The sequence below is a fragment of the Homo sapiens genome, chromosome 18 (assembly GCF_000001405.40).
Source record: "Homo sapiens chromosome 18, GRCh38.p14 Primary Assembly".
Lineage (NCBI taxonomy): Eukaryota > Metazoa > Chordata > Mammalia > Primates > Hominidae > Homo > Homo sapiens.
Window position 1 is genome coordinate 58,479,965 of NC_000018.10, and position 16,432 is coordinate 58,496,396.

General features: G+C 47.0%; 1 protein-coding gene across 1 annotated transcript in view, besides 3 other annotated features; it reads right to left on the reverse strand.

Moving 5' to 3' along the window:
* Positions 1-1,282: 1,282 nt before the first annotated feature.
* Positions 1,283-16,432, reverse strand: part of ALPK2 (alpha kinase 2) — a 147,845-nt gene continuing 132,695 nt past the window's right edge. Inside the window, exon 13 of the mRNA NM_052947.4 lies at positions 1,283-2,075. Coding sequence (NP_443179.3) covers positions 1,859-2,075 — 217 coding nt within the window. The 3' untranslated portion in view covers positions 1,283-1,858. The remainder of the gene's footprint in view (positions 2,076-16,432) is intronic.
* Positions 13,227-13,728: an enhancer, noted in NCBI's record as "H3K27ac hESC enhancer chr18:56160423-56160924 (GRCh37/hg19 assembly coordinates)". NCBI's record gives its function as "activates a minimal SCP1, AML or CMV promoter by ChIP-STARR-seq in naive H9 embryonic stem cells {active_cell/tissue: H9 hESC(naive)}" and the evidence as "EXISTENCE:reporter gene assay evidence [ECO:0000049][PMID:30033119]".
* Positions 13,729-14,228: an enhancer, noted in NCBI's record as "H3K27ac hESC enhancer chr18:56160925-56161424 (GRCh37/hg19 assembly coordinates)". NCBI's record gives its function as "activates a minimal SCP1, AML or CMV promoter by ChIP-STARR-seq in naive H9 embryonic stem cells {active_cell/tissue: H9 hESC(naive)}" and the evidence as "EXISTENCE:reporter gene assay evidence [ECO:0000049][PMID:30033119]".
* Positions 14,005-14,054: a silencer, noted in NCBI's record as "silent region_9485". NCBI's record gives its function as "represses an Ori minimal core promoter by ATAC-STARR-seq in GM12878 lymphoblastoid cells {active_cell/tissue: GM12878}" and the evidence as "EXISTENCE:reporter gene assay evidence [ECO:0000049][PMID:35858748]".

Here is a 16,432-nt window from a genome sequence, read left to right on the forward strand (position 1 = left end):
AAAGGCCACATAGGATTCCAGCTATATGACATTCAGGAAAAAGCAAAACTATGAAGATAATGAAAACATCAGTGATTGCCAGGGGTTGGGGGGTTGGGGAAGGGAGAGATGAATCGGTGAAGTACTGGGGAATTTTAGAGCAGTGAAGGTATTCTGTTTGTTACTATAATGGTAGATACCTGTCATGATACATTTGCCCAAACCCACAGCATGTACAACACCAGGAGTGAGCCCTAATATAAACTATAAACTTTAATTAATAACAACATATCGCGGTTGCTCACATCTGTTATCCCAGGACTTTGGGAGGCCGAGGCAGGTGGATCACCTGAGGTCAGGAGATCGAGACTATCCTGGCCAACATGGTGAAACCCCGTCTCTACTAAAAATACAAAAATTAGCCAGGTGTGGTTGCATGTGCCTGTAATCCCAGCTACTTGGGAGGCTGAGGCAGGAGAATCGCTTGAACCTGGGAGGCAGAGGTTGCAGTGAGCCGAGATCGCGCCACTGCACTCCAGCCTGGGCAACAGAGCGAGACTCCATCTCAAAAAAAAAAAAAAAAAGGTATCGATATTATCTTATCAATTGTAACAAACATACTACAATAATGCAAAATGTTTGTAACGGGAAAATCGTAGAGTGGGGTGAGGAGACACATAGGAAATCTCCACACTTTCTGCTCATTTTTTGTAAATTTAAAACAATTCTGAAAAATAGTCTATTAATGAAACAACATTACCATTAACATTCCCATTAATGAAACAAGAATATTGTTGTTGCAAATAGTTGGGGCAGCGGATATTCTTAAGCATTTTGGGGTATATAAAGTGGTCCCTGAGTTGCTATTGTATAGTTTGCTCTTGCCCAATTTCACATTTCACTGAGGCAGCCATCCTGCTTTACGGCTGGGCATGACCCAAACTGGTAGGGAAGGAGGCTCTGAGTGTCAGGAGACTCAAGTGGAATGAGGGCTGGGAGTGGTTAGAGATGCCAGGATCCCTGTGAATTGGTGCACCCCCGCCAGGATTAGCATGCATCTTCTGGCCTACATCTTCTGGCGCGATCCACCATGGGTCAGCCCTGGGTTTAGGCAGCTCGGGTTTAAGGAACAAAGTAGAAAGCAATGGAACCTAAGTTGTAATGTAAGAATGAGGGGAAACCACAGATGCAAATATTTTGTGCTCTAGGAAACCTATTAGGAAATTACCAAATCCTGAAACAATGTAAAATACGGCACACACTCTAAAGAGCAAGTGTCTATAATGATATACACATCTTACACTTTTTGTTTAAATATGAATTTAATTAAACAGAAAATTGTAACTGGCTGTTGAATGATGGGAAATGGCTTCACGTCACAGAACCCACCTCCGGCAACAATAGCGTATTAGACACCAGTGGAACAACTTGATCCAGTGAGCGAATTCGTGATTTCTGTTTACATCACAGCAGGATGTGTCTAGAAATCCCAGGTTAGGAATGACAGTGGGAAGAATTTTGGCTGTGAACAGACTCTTCTCAGCACCAGGTCCTCGACAGCACAACCATGTGCAAATACACAAATATACACATGATGTGAGGTTGGTAAAAATGCTAAACATGTATATAAAGAATGGACTGTCTTTGAGACCAATCGTTGATTCAATCTCCCCATAAACCTGGTCGCAAATCCTGTTCTGAAATCATTTGAGTGAAGACAGCAGGTGATGGGTTTAGAAGCATCTTGGCGCACAGTCGGCTGGGAGTAAGGATTGCCACGCACTCTCTGCAGGCTGTATATTCTCTCCTGTGTGGCCTCAGATTTTCCCTGGCGAGATTGTGTGCTGCTAGCCAGTGGCCATTAGGTTACCCAGGGACGTTAGGTTTTCTTTTCGCCTGGGGTCTCAGGCCCTGCCTTCTTTATTGTCATAGAGTTTGTTTGAACTTTGCTTTTCCCAATGCTCGGCTGCTTCTGTTTCTGGTTGTTGTTTTGAAGGGATTTCAGTCCCAGCATTTTGCAATACTTGTTACACTGGTGTAGTGCTTTAAACTGATCAATGAAGGTCATGGAACAGTTGCCTTTAAATCCCTTGTACCTGTGAGTTTGGGTGGAAGGAAACATAGCTTTTAAAAACAGGACACTTTCATCAGTTTAAAAAGAAAAACTTGAAAGGGAAAACTAATGGTGCATGGAACATATATGAATTTCTGTTTTAGATAAGAATGGCTGCAGGATAGACACAACTATAAGTGAAGGTAAAAAACAAAGACTGTGGAAATAAGTAAAGGCAAAGATCTGCTGGCACATACAGTGATGATCAAAGGTCTTGGAGTATCCAGGGGTCCCAGGTGCTCACGGTTGGAATGTACCAGCATTTTATTGCCCTGTTCCTCATAGCCACAATGACCAGTGCTGGGCTATTTTGATAAAACACAGATCTCTTAGTGATCGAAAGCCACTCCATCACACCGAGAAGTTCTCAATAAAGAATTTCAGAACTTTGGAACTGAAAGAAATTATTTTGTTTAGACCCTTCAATTTACAGTTGAAGAAATTCAGGTTAAGAGGTCATGAGACTACCCCAAGAAAACAACGCAAGTTGATGTAAGAGACAAGATTAAAATGAAGCCCTCTGAGTCTTTCTCCTACAGCAGAGCTCACTCCCCTGGCAGCCCGCTTTGTCCCCAGGAGAAGAAGAATTTTTGTCTCTGGCAGAACCTTTGTCTCCAGTAGGCCCTAAAAGGCTCCATGCTGACTCCTTGGCCAGGAGTAGTCTCAGGGGTTGTTCCTCTTGGTTGGGACATTTAAATACTGAAATTATAAATGGCCATGTTTTCATGTCCCAATTATGGTAGGTTAGTGTGCTCCTTGAATGGACAGCTGCCCAGCCCCTAAGTCTCCCCAGCTATCTGCAGATGAACAAGATCCATCAAAAAATTGGTTGAAGGTGCAGGCTTCCTGGGTTCTGGGCAGAATGTGAAAGGGTAGTAGGCTATTGCAGCTTGTTTAGTAGCTAGGAAAGTGACCCTGCAGGTCTTCCTGCCAGCCACCAGAAAATCCACAAATCCCATGTACACACTGAATCCAGTCACAGCTCCTCACAGAGTGTGGAGGAGGCCAGGTGAGCATAGTGCCAGCCACATACCCTCCCCAATAAGTGGCATCTCCTTGAGATGTCCAAGGGTCCTCCTTGTCACCGCAGATGAGCTCCTTTGTCAAAGGAATTTGCCTTCAACATGAATCCCATGGGGATAAACACTTTGAAGTAGCACATATGTAAACCTATGAGGTCCACGTTACATTCACTCAGCCCCTCCCCATCAATGCATTCTCCACACTGCCAGCAGAGTAACCTCTACAAAACATAAGTCATATCTCCTGCTTAAAATCCCATTGCTGTTAAAACGAAGACAAAATTCCTGAAACTGCCTGTGATCCTGCACTGTCTGGCTGCATCTCCCAACCCATTGACCTCTTCAGCCATTAGAAGTGTGTCCAAGCTCCCTCCTCCCAAAAGTTTCTGCCTGCAGTATTCCCCCTGCATGGGATGCTCCTTCCTCCTTTTTCTAGATAAGTCCTACTCACTTTATTTATTTATTTATTTATTTATTTATTTATTTATTGAGACAGAGTCTCATTCTTGTTGCCCAGGCTGGAGTGCAATGGCTCAATCTCAGCTCATTGCAACCTCCGCTTGCTGGGTTCAAGTGATTCTCCTGCCTCAGCCTCCCAAGTAGCTGGGATTACAGGCATCCACCACCACACCCGGCTAATTTTTTGTATTTTTTTTTTTTTTTTTAAGTAGAGACAGGGCTTCACCATGTTGGCCAGGCTGGTCTCAAACTCCTGACCTCAGGTGATCCGCCCGCCTCGGCCTCCCAAAGTGCTGGGATTACAAACATGAGCCACCATGCCCGGCCCTTGCTCACTTTAAATTCTCAGGTCATTTGACCTTTCCAACCAAGTCACATCCCCCTGTCATAGACTCTCCTGGACTGTGCACCTCCTCTTTGTGGCACGGTCACACACACAGTCTGACATCTGTGAGTGGATGAGATGGTTAATTTCTGTCTCTCCACTCACTGTAAATTCTGTGATAGCAGAGGTCACTCTTTGCTCACCACTGTACCCCAACACCTAGTCCAGTGCTTAGTAAATGGCAGAAGCTCAACAAATAGAGGATGATTGAAAAAAGAGTGGGATGCTTTTATTTTAGTGGTTGTTCAGAATGCGTTTTCATTTGTCTATTTTTGTGTTGACCTGTATCAGTGCTGTGTTCTTTAAAAATATAGTCACATGGGAGGAAGGGACAGCAACTTTCCTCCCTCCCTTCTCTAGAGCGCACCTAGCCAAGCACTGTGCTTGAGGCTACGGATTCAACAGAGAACACACAAGACATTGACTCATGTTGTCCAGTGAAGAAGACAGATATCAAGTCATTACAGTGAAATATGATGAATACGATGCAGGGGAAGCATTGCCGGCTGGTAAACCTGGACAATAATTGGTGGGCTAAGTTTCTGTCAGTTTCCTGATCTCCAAAGTGTGAATAATAATAATGCCCACTGAGGCAGGTGGATCACGAGGTCAAGAGATCGCAACCATCCTGGCCAACATGGTAAAACCCCAACTCTTCTAAAAATACAAAAATTAGCTGGGTGTGGTGGCATGCGCCTGTAGTCCCAGCTACTCAGGAGGCTGAGACAGGAGAATCATTTGAATCCAGGAGGCAGAGGTTGCAGTGAGACGAGATCGCGCCACTGCACTCCAGTCTGGCGACAGAGCGAGACTTCGTCTCAAAAAATAATATAATAATAATAATAATAATGCCCATAGGGTTGTTGAGGGGATGAAATGAGAAAATCCATAGAAACCATGTAGCTCAGGGCATAACACAGTAAAGATTCAGCTGATGTTGATCGTGTTGTTATAATTATCAACATTACAACTGATGCAACTGATGCGGGCTTCCTGTGGAAGAGACTTTGAAGCTGAGAGTCAAAGCTGAGGGATTTTCCAGGTAAAGGGTAGGGGCAGAGGGTGCCTGGCATTCAGGACCAGTGACATGTAGGGCCCAGTACAAAACGAAAACAGGCTCTTTGTTCAAAAAGTAGTAAGAATTTCAAGACAACAAGCACAGAGCATTAAACCAAACACAGGGCCCTTCTGAGTGTGAGGTCCTGTGCACAAATTGCACACGCATGAAACCAGCCCTGCCCGGTGGGAGAGAGTGCTGGCCGTTGTTGCTTAATAGGGCCAAAGGCAAACTGGCAAAAAGAAGTCTGTAATGCTGGCATGTTGCGGATTCTGTAGCTGTTATGATTCAAGAAATCAGGCCTCCTTCATTGGCTGGTAGAAACTATAGAGGTCGACACACCTGGACTGAATGGAGAGAGTTTTTTCCCTGTGCAATCCAAGCTGGGTTTTTTAAGCTCTTAAGGGCGTGAAAGGTTTCCTTCCTCTCGGAAGCTAAAGCGGCAGCCTGCAGCTCCACCCTGCCGTGATTGTTATAAATCCAGCTGCCCCTCCTCCTCCTGGCTGGGGGACTGCTCTGCCCCTGGGAGCCCACAGTCCATGGCCTTGGGAAAAATGACTTGGTTTCTAAAAGCCAAGCTTTCTCGTTGAAGAAAAGGTCAACCAAAGAAAGGAGTTGAATCTGGCAGAGTGGGAAATCGTCTACTGCTAATGGTATCATTTTTACATCTCTATCTTCCTCTGCAGGAGCTCCCTGAAAGGCTGAAATGTCAGCTTGTCAGTGTTTCCTGTATGCCTGAGCGCTCTCTCCCTGGTGAGACGCAGGGCCTGCTCCGTCAGGATGGATGGTTTAATCCCACCTGCCACTGGGGGGGGACCCCGGTTGCTTCACACCAACTCCTGAGCTCCTCAAATGGGGAGTGTCACGAGTGGGCAGGGGCAGCTTCCCTGTCTGAGCACATTGGAAACAAGTCCCGGTCATTTGCATCAGGACTGCCTCGAGGCTTTTCAAATTCAGACAACATCTGGTCTCTGCAGAGAAAAATAACTAATTCACACTGTGACCTCCCAGAAAGATCACCACTTCGTCCTGAAGCACTCCCTTGCCGGCAGGTGTTAATGCCAGGTAAAAAGAGAGCCCCTGTCTAATAGTCTCCACCTCTGGAATGGAAAAAGCTGAGCTGGGTCAAAGGAGCGTGACTTCTGGGCAGCCCCTGGGTAGACTTCTTTCAGGAATCTGCCTCCTTCTCCACCTCCACTTAACCTCTTTCTTTAGACCCTCGCAGAAAGCTGGAGTCAGGCAGCAGAGGCTAAGATGGCTGTGCCTGGGCTTGGTGAGGCCAGAGAGCAAAGGCATCTCTGCACCATCTCAGAGACCCTTTCTCAGCCCTTAGCTACCTTCGAGCCCCAGCTCCAGTGGGCTCTCTCCGCACCATGAGAGGACATCTCTCCAACCTCCTCCCTGCATCTTCTTGAGAACTAGACACCCCTCTCAGAGTTAGGGGTGTATGCGCCCCATCTTCTCTGCACAGATTATGATCTCTCTCAGGACACTGCTTTATGCCCAGAACGCCTGTCCAGGGGAGGCTTTTCTATAAATGTTGAAAGAACAAAATGAATGGGGCCCAGCTCCATGCTCAGCACTACCTTGTCTCCACGCCACATTTCTGAACATCTCTTTCTCTAATTTTCGACCCTCAACTTGGCCTGTCAGACAGTGTTGAACTTCCCTTTCCCTGTCTTTCTCAGGTGCAGACTTTTCTTTGCTACCTAGCATTTACAGAAATTACAAATCTTCCTCCTTTCTCAATTTGGCCTCTGTCTCAGCCAGGATGTTGGGCTGCTGCTTTGACCCGTTCTCACAAACTGACAGCCATCACCAAGGCCATTGCCCTTGCCCAAGAAGAAAAATAGGGCAACATCCTTTGTGTTCTTAGATTGATTATCCCAGATTCATTCAAAGGACATGAATTCAATAACATCAAGCTCTCCTCTACCCAAGCAATGGGAAGTGCAGGTTTCCCTGCTAGTGACCCACCTTACATGCGACATGTGCCACCCGCTGCCTTGAGGGTTGAATCTGGAGCTGTAGGCCATCTCTCCAACAGGATCACCATTGCAGAAACTCGCTATCCTTTTCATGTTGGATAGATATAGGGGGTTGAGTAGCATCCTTGCCCACCCCATCCCCAAAGTCACGTCCTTCCCAGAACCTCAGAATGTGACCTTATTTGGAAATCACATCATTACAGATGGAATTTCTTAAATAAGGTCACACTGGAGCAGGGGAGGCCCTCAATCCACTGTTACTGGTGTCTCATAAGAAGATGACAAAAGACAGAGACACACAGGGGGAATATCATGTGATGTTGGAGACATAAGTTAAAGAGATGCGTCTATCAGTCAAGGAACTCCAAGGATTGCCAGCAAACCCGGAAGCCAGAGGAGAGGCATGGAACAGACCCTCCCTCAGAGCCTGCAGAAGGAGCCAACCCTGCCAACCCCTTGATTTCAGTCTTCCAGCCCCCAGAACTGTGAGACAATCAATTTCTATCACTGTGAGGCTCTTGGTTTGTGGTCATTTGTTATGGCAGCCCTAGGAATCTAACATAATGGAATAAAGAATCTTGTATTTGAGATCTTTTTCAAATATTTTCATTTTTAAAAATCTTAACTCTATAGAATTTTACTAAATGGGTCTTTTTGTCCTTAACCTCTAATTAGTATAATTTTTTAGCCTATCTCTTTATGTGAATCTATCCATCCTCTCTCACAATGTCCAGAATTGGAACACTAAATGTACTCCACTGAACAGCATTCAGACCAGGCGCACTGGCTCACGCCTGTAATCCCAGCACTTTGGGAGGCTGAAACAGGAGGTTAGCTGGAGCCCAGGAATACAAGACCAGCCTGGGCAACATAACGAGACCCTATCTCTACAAAACAAAAACAAAAACAAAAAATATGAATAGCATTCAATATATAGTCTTTTCTCAACTATATTCCCCCTGGATGAGAGTGGTCCCTGCGAATGACCTCGAGACCCTGTTAAAATGCTGATTTGGATTCAGTAGGTCTGGAGTGGGGGTGGAATTTTCTGCATTTCTACCAGGCTCTGGGGGGTATTGATGTCACTGGTCCAGGGACCCCCTCTCCTTTGAGCAACAAGGAGATAAACTACTCAAAAGTGGTGATCTACACTCATCTCTATTTGACTTTGGAAATGCCTTTATATTTAAACTGGAACACAAGTATATCTTATGTTTATGAAGTTAGAGGCAAACAATCTAATAAAGTCACACTGAAACATCCCACCTGGAGAGGAGCTATGGAGGCTGTTTCCACAGTCCTGCCCTCACTCAACAAAGATTTATTCAAGATTTGCTATGTGTTAGAAACTGTGCCAGGCTGATGTCTTGCTTAAGAACGATTCCTCTCTCCTCTCATCCTAATAATGAATGGCATAGCCTTTCAGACTCACACAGAAATCACCAACTGATAGCAGCAGGGTGACTGCTTTCTCTCTGGGATCCGCTCACAACCGTGCTGGACAATGTATTGGCTCCAAACACACCTGGAGAGCAGGGGTGGAGGAAAGTCACAGAAATTTCCAGCCCCGGCTGAGTTAGAGAAACCAAGGTTCTTGGCTGGCTTAATAAAGGAAATGGAGACAGGCAAGGCAAACCCACTGAAAAGTTTTCCTGCACTTTGGTAACCCATTAGATGCCAACCAGAAGCTACATTGAACAGCTTGAGCTTGAGATCCTTTCTGAAGAAGTTTTAACGCATAGGGAAAGGCTACAAGGACAAGGAATTCGAGGTCAGGATGGGGGTGAAGAATTGAAACAAAGCCATGGTCTGGTGTGTGATGTGTGTGTGTAAAATAAAGCCAGGCTGGACTTAGGCTCCGGTAGAACGGATTGTCACCTGCATGGAAAGGGAGGGACATGGGGAGCCTTCCACCTGGAAACAGCAAGAGATTCCCGGAGTGCCACTCATACCCTTCATTTTTCATGTGTACTCATTGATTTCTTCATTGATCAGGTATCAGCTGTGTGCCAGACACTGTAGGGGAACTAAAAGGAATTAATTAATAAGCGGAGCGGCACTTTCCCAAAAGCGGCCATCTTGGAGCAAGCTGTCACATCTCAGCGGGAGGAAGTTCTGTGGAAACGCGGAGGGTGCCATTTTCACACTGCCGAGCAGATTCCTACAAGAGTTCCTACAGGAAAGATGGTTTGGGGTTTATCTGGCAGAGGGAACAACATGGTAAGGTTCAGAGGCACGTTGTGAGCCAGAGCAGGTGTTCTGAGGGGAGATGCCGTCGGAGGATGTGTGAAAATGTTTCAAAGCCGTGCCGTGCCATTTCTCCTGTGGCATGCTGGTTTCCAAAATACGTTCTCATGAGCAACAGTCCCACAAGAGTCTTTGAAATTCTGTGATGTAAATGCTGTGAGAAATGCTATCTGATATCTCTCCTAGGCTTGGTATGGTAGGTAGCTCACGCCTGTAATCCCAGCACTTTGAGAGTCCAGGGTGAGAGGACTGCTTGAACCCAGCAGTTTGAGACTAGCCTGGGCAACATAGTGAGACCCCACCCCTACAAAAAAAAATTAAAAATAGCTGGGTGTGGTGGTGCATGCCTGTAGTTCCAGTTTCTTGGGAGGCTGAGGCAGGAGGATTACATGAGCCCAGGAGTTCGAGGCAGCAGTGAGCCATGATCAGGACTCTACATTCCAGCCTGGACAACAGAGAAAGGCCCTATCTCAAAACAGTCATAATAATAATAATATCTTTCCTTGTCCCTAGGACATTCAAAATACACATCAGCTCTTTAAAGACCATATGAAGTCTCACACTAAAGAAGTCTCCTGGCCGGGCATGGTGGCTTATGTCTGTAATCCCAGCACTTTGGGAGCTGTAATCCCAGCACTTTGGGAGGCCGAGGCTGGTGGATCATGAGGTCAGGATATTGAGACCATCCTGGCCCCGTCTCTACTAAAAATACAAAAATTAGCTGGGTGTGGTACCGTGTGCCTGTAGTCTTAGCTACTCAGGAGGCTGAGGCAGGAGAATCGCTTGAATGAGGTTGCAGTGAGCCAGGATTGTGCCACTGCACTCCACCCTTGGTGACAGAGTGAGAGTCCGTCTCAAAAAAAAAAGAAAGAAAAAAAGAAACTTCCTAAACTTATTCAACCTAGGGTTTCCCAAAATTACTTGACAACAGAAATCTTGTTTCACATAATTACTTTGAAAAGCACTTTTAAAAATTCATGGAGCTTTTGAGGGCGGGGACGTGGTAGTGTAACCAGATCTGTGTTTTCTAGAGAAGTTGTCCCCCTTGAGGATGTCTACAAGGTGACCTTCTCTTGGGGCAGGTAACCTTCAGCAACTTATCTGAACAAATGCCATCTGAGCCACCACTGCCCCTCCCTGGGCCAGTCAGGGGAGCCTCCAGGCAATTCGCCCCTGCTTTCCGCCTGGTCCAGGTGGTGCAGGTCAGATCTTGTCATGGCCAAGCAACTGCTTGGATGGCCCCATCTCCCTCTGAACAAAGTCCAGCCCCTCCCCTTGGTTCCTGGCACTCTCTGCCTTTCTTGCCCAGTGCTATGGCCCCTCCCTCAGGCCTCAGTTGAAGCCACAGTCCCAGCTACCCCCAACAGAAACCAAGCCCTGGCTCTATGTTCCCTCATAGCCTCCCTGGCTGGAGAAAAAAAAAAAAGAATACAAAAAGTTCCCTCTTTCTGCAGAAAAATGTGAGAGGAGGGCAGAGGTGCCCCACCTTCAATGAGTCTGGTCTCTGCGTCTGCTGGCAACATATTCTAGAATCCCTGTACATTTGCACAGTTTCTACTCTCATTGCTTTTGATGGCACCCTCAACCAGGAGGTTCTGTGAGACAGGAGTCCCGAAGAAGAGAGCTCAGAGAAGAGCCCAGGGGAGGGGGAGAAGCACTCATCTACTATGGGTCCGTTTTTGAGGTCGCATGAGTCCCATCCCCATGAATATGCAGGAAGCACACAGTCCATTCGTTAGTATCTGAAATGGAAACGAATTGAAGACAAAGAACCGAGGAGGGGGCGTTGTAGGTAGACACCCACCAGATAAGCAGCCTGAGATTCGCCCACTGTCCTAAGCCCCAGAGCTCTGATCCCCAAAGGGCTGTGCTGGTTTTATCTGCAAATGGGAGTGAAACCACCTTTGCAGAAATTATAACTGAGAAAATTGTGACAGTGAAAGAGATCTGACTGAACTGACTCCGTCTTGCTTCTCACCTCCAAGCTCTCCTTGTTCTTTCCTGGGCAGAGGCCAAACTAACTTGGGGAGGAACTTAGTTTATAGTTTGACTTTGAAACAAAGACGGTAACAGCCCTTTCCCAAAACAAACTCCCTTCTTGCCTGGGAACTAGACTGCCTTTGCAGGACTAACAAATTAGCCAAAAGATTAGAAATTATGGTTTAGGAGTCATGCAGCTGGAGGCTACAAGGTTCTAAACTTCCCCAGTTTCTCCTAGGGATGACATCACAATTGTAAAACCTAAGCCTGGTGCTTGAGATGTTTTTCAGACCCTGCCCTCGATGGATCAACTGGCGCCTCCCAGATCAATAAACTGGCTCATTTAGTCTTGTGGCCCCCACCCAGGAACTGACTCAGCACAAGAGGACAGCTTTGACTCCCTACGATTTCGTCTCCCACCTGACCAATCAGCACTACCCCCACTTCCCGACCCCCAATCCCCAAATTTTCAGGGAGACTGATTTGAGTAGTAATAAAACTTCAGTCTTCCATACAGCTGGCCCTATGTGAATTAAACTCTTTCTCTGTTGCAGTTCCCATCTTGATAAATCGGCCATGTCCTGTCTAGGCATACAGGCAAGGAGAACTTGTGGGGCGGTTACAGGAGCCTCTGCAGGGCCACAGGGCAGGTAATTGAGGTGAGGGAGAAGCGCGTCAGCATTCCCACTAGGTACAGGCTTTTTGAGAATTCACCATTCAGAGGAGCAGCTGGGCTGACGCCCTGGGTGGCAGTGAGGGTGGATAGAGGCAAAGCCACATTTCCAGTGTGCTCCAAGTTGCACAGCGAGGGCTGCAGGGCCTTCCGTATTGACAAACTCTGAATCCTCACGAGGGGTGCTCACCACTCTGGAACATCACTCCGCCGTTAGTCCCTCATTGTTTTCCCACAGGCTCCTTCCCCTCTGCCTTCAAACAGGCAAGGTCTCTTTAGACACACACACACACACAACACACAGAGGCAGACACAAAAAGACACAGACACAGATATACACACAGACACACATGCACACACATACACAGGGACACAGACACAGAAACAAAGACAAAGACACGCACACAGACATATATACGCGCACACACACACGCACACATTCCCCACACCTCCTTTTCTGGCTACCTTCTAGACTTTTCCTTGTCTTTAGTCGACAAACTTGTTTAGTTGCTGGCATCTTGGCAGCACATTCCCTCTCTGATCTGTCATGAGGCTCCCACCTGGTGACACTACATTGGCTTAGACCTTCCTGAAGGCAGTGATAACCTTTTTCTTGTCTATTCTGGTCTTCACCCCATGCTGTCCACTCAGGCTCTGTCACCCCAACCCTCTCAGCCATCCCTGTACCTGCCTCGTGCTTCTGTCTCCTACTGGCCACCAGTCTGTCCTGCAGGGGTGATCTCGAATCTACCAGACTTCTCTAGACGTTCTCTCTGTTCAGATTCATCTCTGAAGCTGGATGACAAGCGATGCAGCACCTGTCCCTGAGTCCTCAGGTCCTGGGGAATGGACTGGGCAGAGGGACAACTAGGGAATAGGGTCAGGAGTGGGAGGAACCCATGGATCCCAATTCCAGACATTTCAACAGAACTGTCCTTTGTAAGACTTCTGGGTAGAGGCCAGGATACTGCTGTGCTAGTCCCTCCATGGAGGGGGCATGTCCTGGCTGGCTCTGTTGGGCCTGGGAGACTCCCCCATACACTGAGAGCACTGCTATAGTAGGGTCTGCCTTGCCAAAAACTGCGAAAATCACCACTGTTCCCTTCAGACTTCCCTCCAGCCTCCAAACTTCCTTAATGGCAAAGACTGGCCACATAAATCAGCCAGCGGGCCAGCCAGCCCTACTACAGAATGGGCTGACCGGATGAAGATGGGATGCAGGTGGCCTTCCAGGACAGATGACCCTGTGGCAGGCGGGGACAGGAGCTATCTGGGGCATAAAATTGCCTTTCTCAAGCTGACAGGCCTGTGAGATTGGTCCGCTGATGCCTGGCATTGGGGACTCAGCTGAAATGTTTGGTGTTCTATAGTGACATGGCCCTGCTATGAGACACTTTAAAGGCATCAGGAATTCTGTTCCAATGTCCCTTTGTTTCCTCTCCTGGCAGACTCATGCATTGCTTTAAATAGTCTGCCTGGAGTCACCACTCATGCACATAAGCCTATTCTCGGGGCGTGTTTCTTCGGATTAGATTGTTTCTTCCCACCTCCAAGTTTGTTTTGGCGCTTCCTCTCCAGGTACGGTGGTGGCTCGGCCTTGTGACTGGGCAAAGCATCCCAGGTGGCTGCCGTCCCCTCCATCTGCTTGTGGGCATTGAAGGCAGAGCCTTTCTTTTGGAACTCAGCTTGGCCGAGTGTGGGAGTCTATTTTGATCTTTTCTCCTGTTCATGGCCAGGACCAGAGCTAGGCACGCAGACCCCAATGGAGCCTGCTTTCTCAAGGCAACTGTCCTCCTGCTACATGAATGAATCATCCAGGCTTCTGTCCAGGGTCTCGGGAATTTGGCTTCCATGTCAGGGACGCTTGACACAAGCCACACATCCTTAAGCCTCGTCGTTCCTTCCTCCGAGGGTAGAAAGATGCAAGGCTGGCTGGCAGCCACTGCGAGGGGTGTCCTTTACGGCTGTCCATATTAATCTTATTTTGGTCTAATGCTTACTGCCAGGGAAGAAATCTGCTAATGGTACTTTTCTTTGTTTTATTTCAATCTGGCAACAGGAAATTGGCTTTTTAGGGGAGACTACAAAGGGCAAAGTATTGGTTCTGGTGCCCTCTGGTGGTTGAACTGCAATCTCGTCGCCTCCCCGGGAACTCCCCGACTGGCTGGAGAGAAGCATGAGTTTGCAGTTCGGCTCCACTGCACGCATGGCTTTAGATCGGTCTGGAGTTGGTTAGGTTACGTTTCCAAATCTCCAGTTATAAAATTAGGCCTTTTTTCCTTGTGTAATTTCCAATTAGAAATTTGTTCAACGGGTTAGTATCTTGGGTCTATCTAGAAAATGGATTACTGGATGTCAAAACAATCTTACTTGCCATACTTTGTAACCTGAAATTTTTGTACTCAACATTTGCCAAAAGATTGAGGTGGCTGAGGCACAGGGGATGTGTTTCCAGACATAATTATATCTCTGGCTCCCAAGAGAAATATGACATACTCCTGTTAAAAGGAACATACAATGAAGTAAAGTTGAATTAAAATGAGTAAGTCATGACAATTCTCTATTTTATTTTATGAGATTAGAGTAATTACTCCTGAAATAGGATCATAGCCTTTGACTTCATTGAACAAGACAGCAAAACAGGTTGCATGACTGGGGTGTCAGCAGCCAAATATATGGTCCTGATTGAGACATATGGGAATTTTTTTTTTTAAATGACACACGGAGCACTGCTTCTTATGGTGGTGCTGTTCCCCCAGCTGAACCCTGCCAGGTACCAGCCCCCCCATAGAACTTGCGACTCTCCCTTTGCATCATGAATGAACTAAGCTCACTCACAGTTGCTTGCTAAGAATCAAGAGAACTTGCTCGATCAACCCTTATTCCTCCATCTTCTCTCCTGCTGTCTGCAGTCTGCGATGCTCGCCTTCCTTTCTTCCCCAGCTCATTTGCCTCCCACCTGGACTTTCCTGTCTGCAGAGTGCCCTTGAACTTGAGCCCTTTCCAAGTCTGTCCTCATGAGTTATCTCCCTTTTGCAGCTTTGACATTCACTGGAGAACTTTTTCAATTGTGCCTCGCCTCCCAGCATTGAGGATCTGCCGTTCACTTTGGGGTGCTGACTTCAAGCAGGAAAGACTTCTTGACTCCTGCCAGCAAGCAGGCTGCCCCATGCCCCATGCCCCATGCCCCATGCCTCCTCACCTGTGAAGTGAGGAGGTCGGGCTTGATCACTGGTTTCCACTCCAGAGGGGTTCCCAGGAGCCTCTAAAGAGGTCTCTCAACCACCTCTTATGCTCTGTTTGGAGAAGTTTTACCTTTTCATCAGTTTTTCAAACTGTGATTGTAAGATATATTTCTTTTGGGAAAAAGACTGTGGCTTAAAAAGGTAACGTTTAAAGAAAAGTTTTTAAAAAACAAAAGACAAGAAGATCTAATATCCCTGCCAAAGCTCTCAAACACTTCAGAATCTCCTCCTCTCCCAGCTCCTGCTCCCTGGCCTCTCCTTGGGTGGGAAGGCAATGAGTAAGTAATACTTTATAGACAGCATTCTGCACTGGGCTCCAGCCGTCAGTGCTTCTAATGGGTCTTGGGCAGCTGTCCCGGGCCAGATAAGTCACATTAAAGCTGAGAACAAAACCAAAGGATTGGATTTCTTTTTAAATCAGGAGGGGAAAAAATGTACCACTTGAAGCTCCCAGTCGGTCTGGGTTCCTGGAAGCTGTTGACTTGAATTTAAAAGATGTCTTCAATAATCATGACCATCTTCATTTTTGAAACTTCTTGGGCAGGTTTCTTCTTTGTTTTGGTAGAGAGTTGTTCTAAATAACAGCACGAAATTTGCCTACTCTGGTGTCAGGCTAAGACATGAGGAGCGAAGGGAAACTAATATTTATCTAGCTCACTTCCAGTTTCAGGGGCTAGGTGTAGATTAACTGGGGGAATACTCAGGGCAAGCCGGAGTGTCCCCATGCTGTACATCACTGACTTTAAGAACTTAGTCACATGCCCACAGTCACACAGCTGGTATGACGAGAAGCCAGGATTCAAACTAGGGCTGGCGGATGCTTGCATCTGCAAGGTTCTGCAGAACACATGGAGCCTGGAAAGGAAGGCTCCGTTTGGAAAATCCTTCTGGGGTCCAGAAGCCTCCATAAATAGGGCACCATATAATTTATCTTCTAAATGGGTACACTTGTTCAGGATCAATGCTAAAGCGTATGGGATGTGAGGACATCAGGCATAAAATGGTACCATCATGGGGAAACTGCAATAGACGTTCATCCCCCTCATCAGGTAGGCTAGGCAAATTCCTACGATGCCAAGAAGCGAGGCTACTATCAGGAGAAATGGAAGCAGCAGCATCAGGGTATGAACTGGGTCTCGCTCTAAATCCCTCGTTCCTTCCTCCCCACTACATCATAATCCCTCCTAATGCGCTGTCTTCACAAGCCCAAGAACATACCCAATTCCCTGAAGTGTATGCCAGCCAGGTCTCTGGTGAGCACAGGGGAGAAGCCTGGAGACAGTT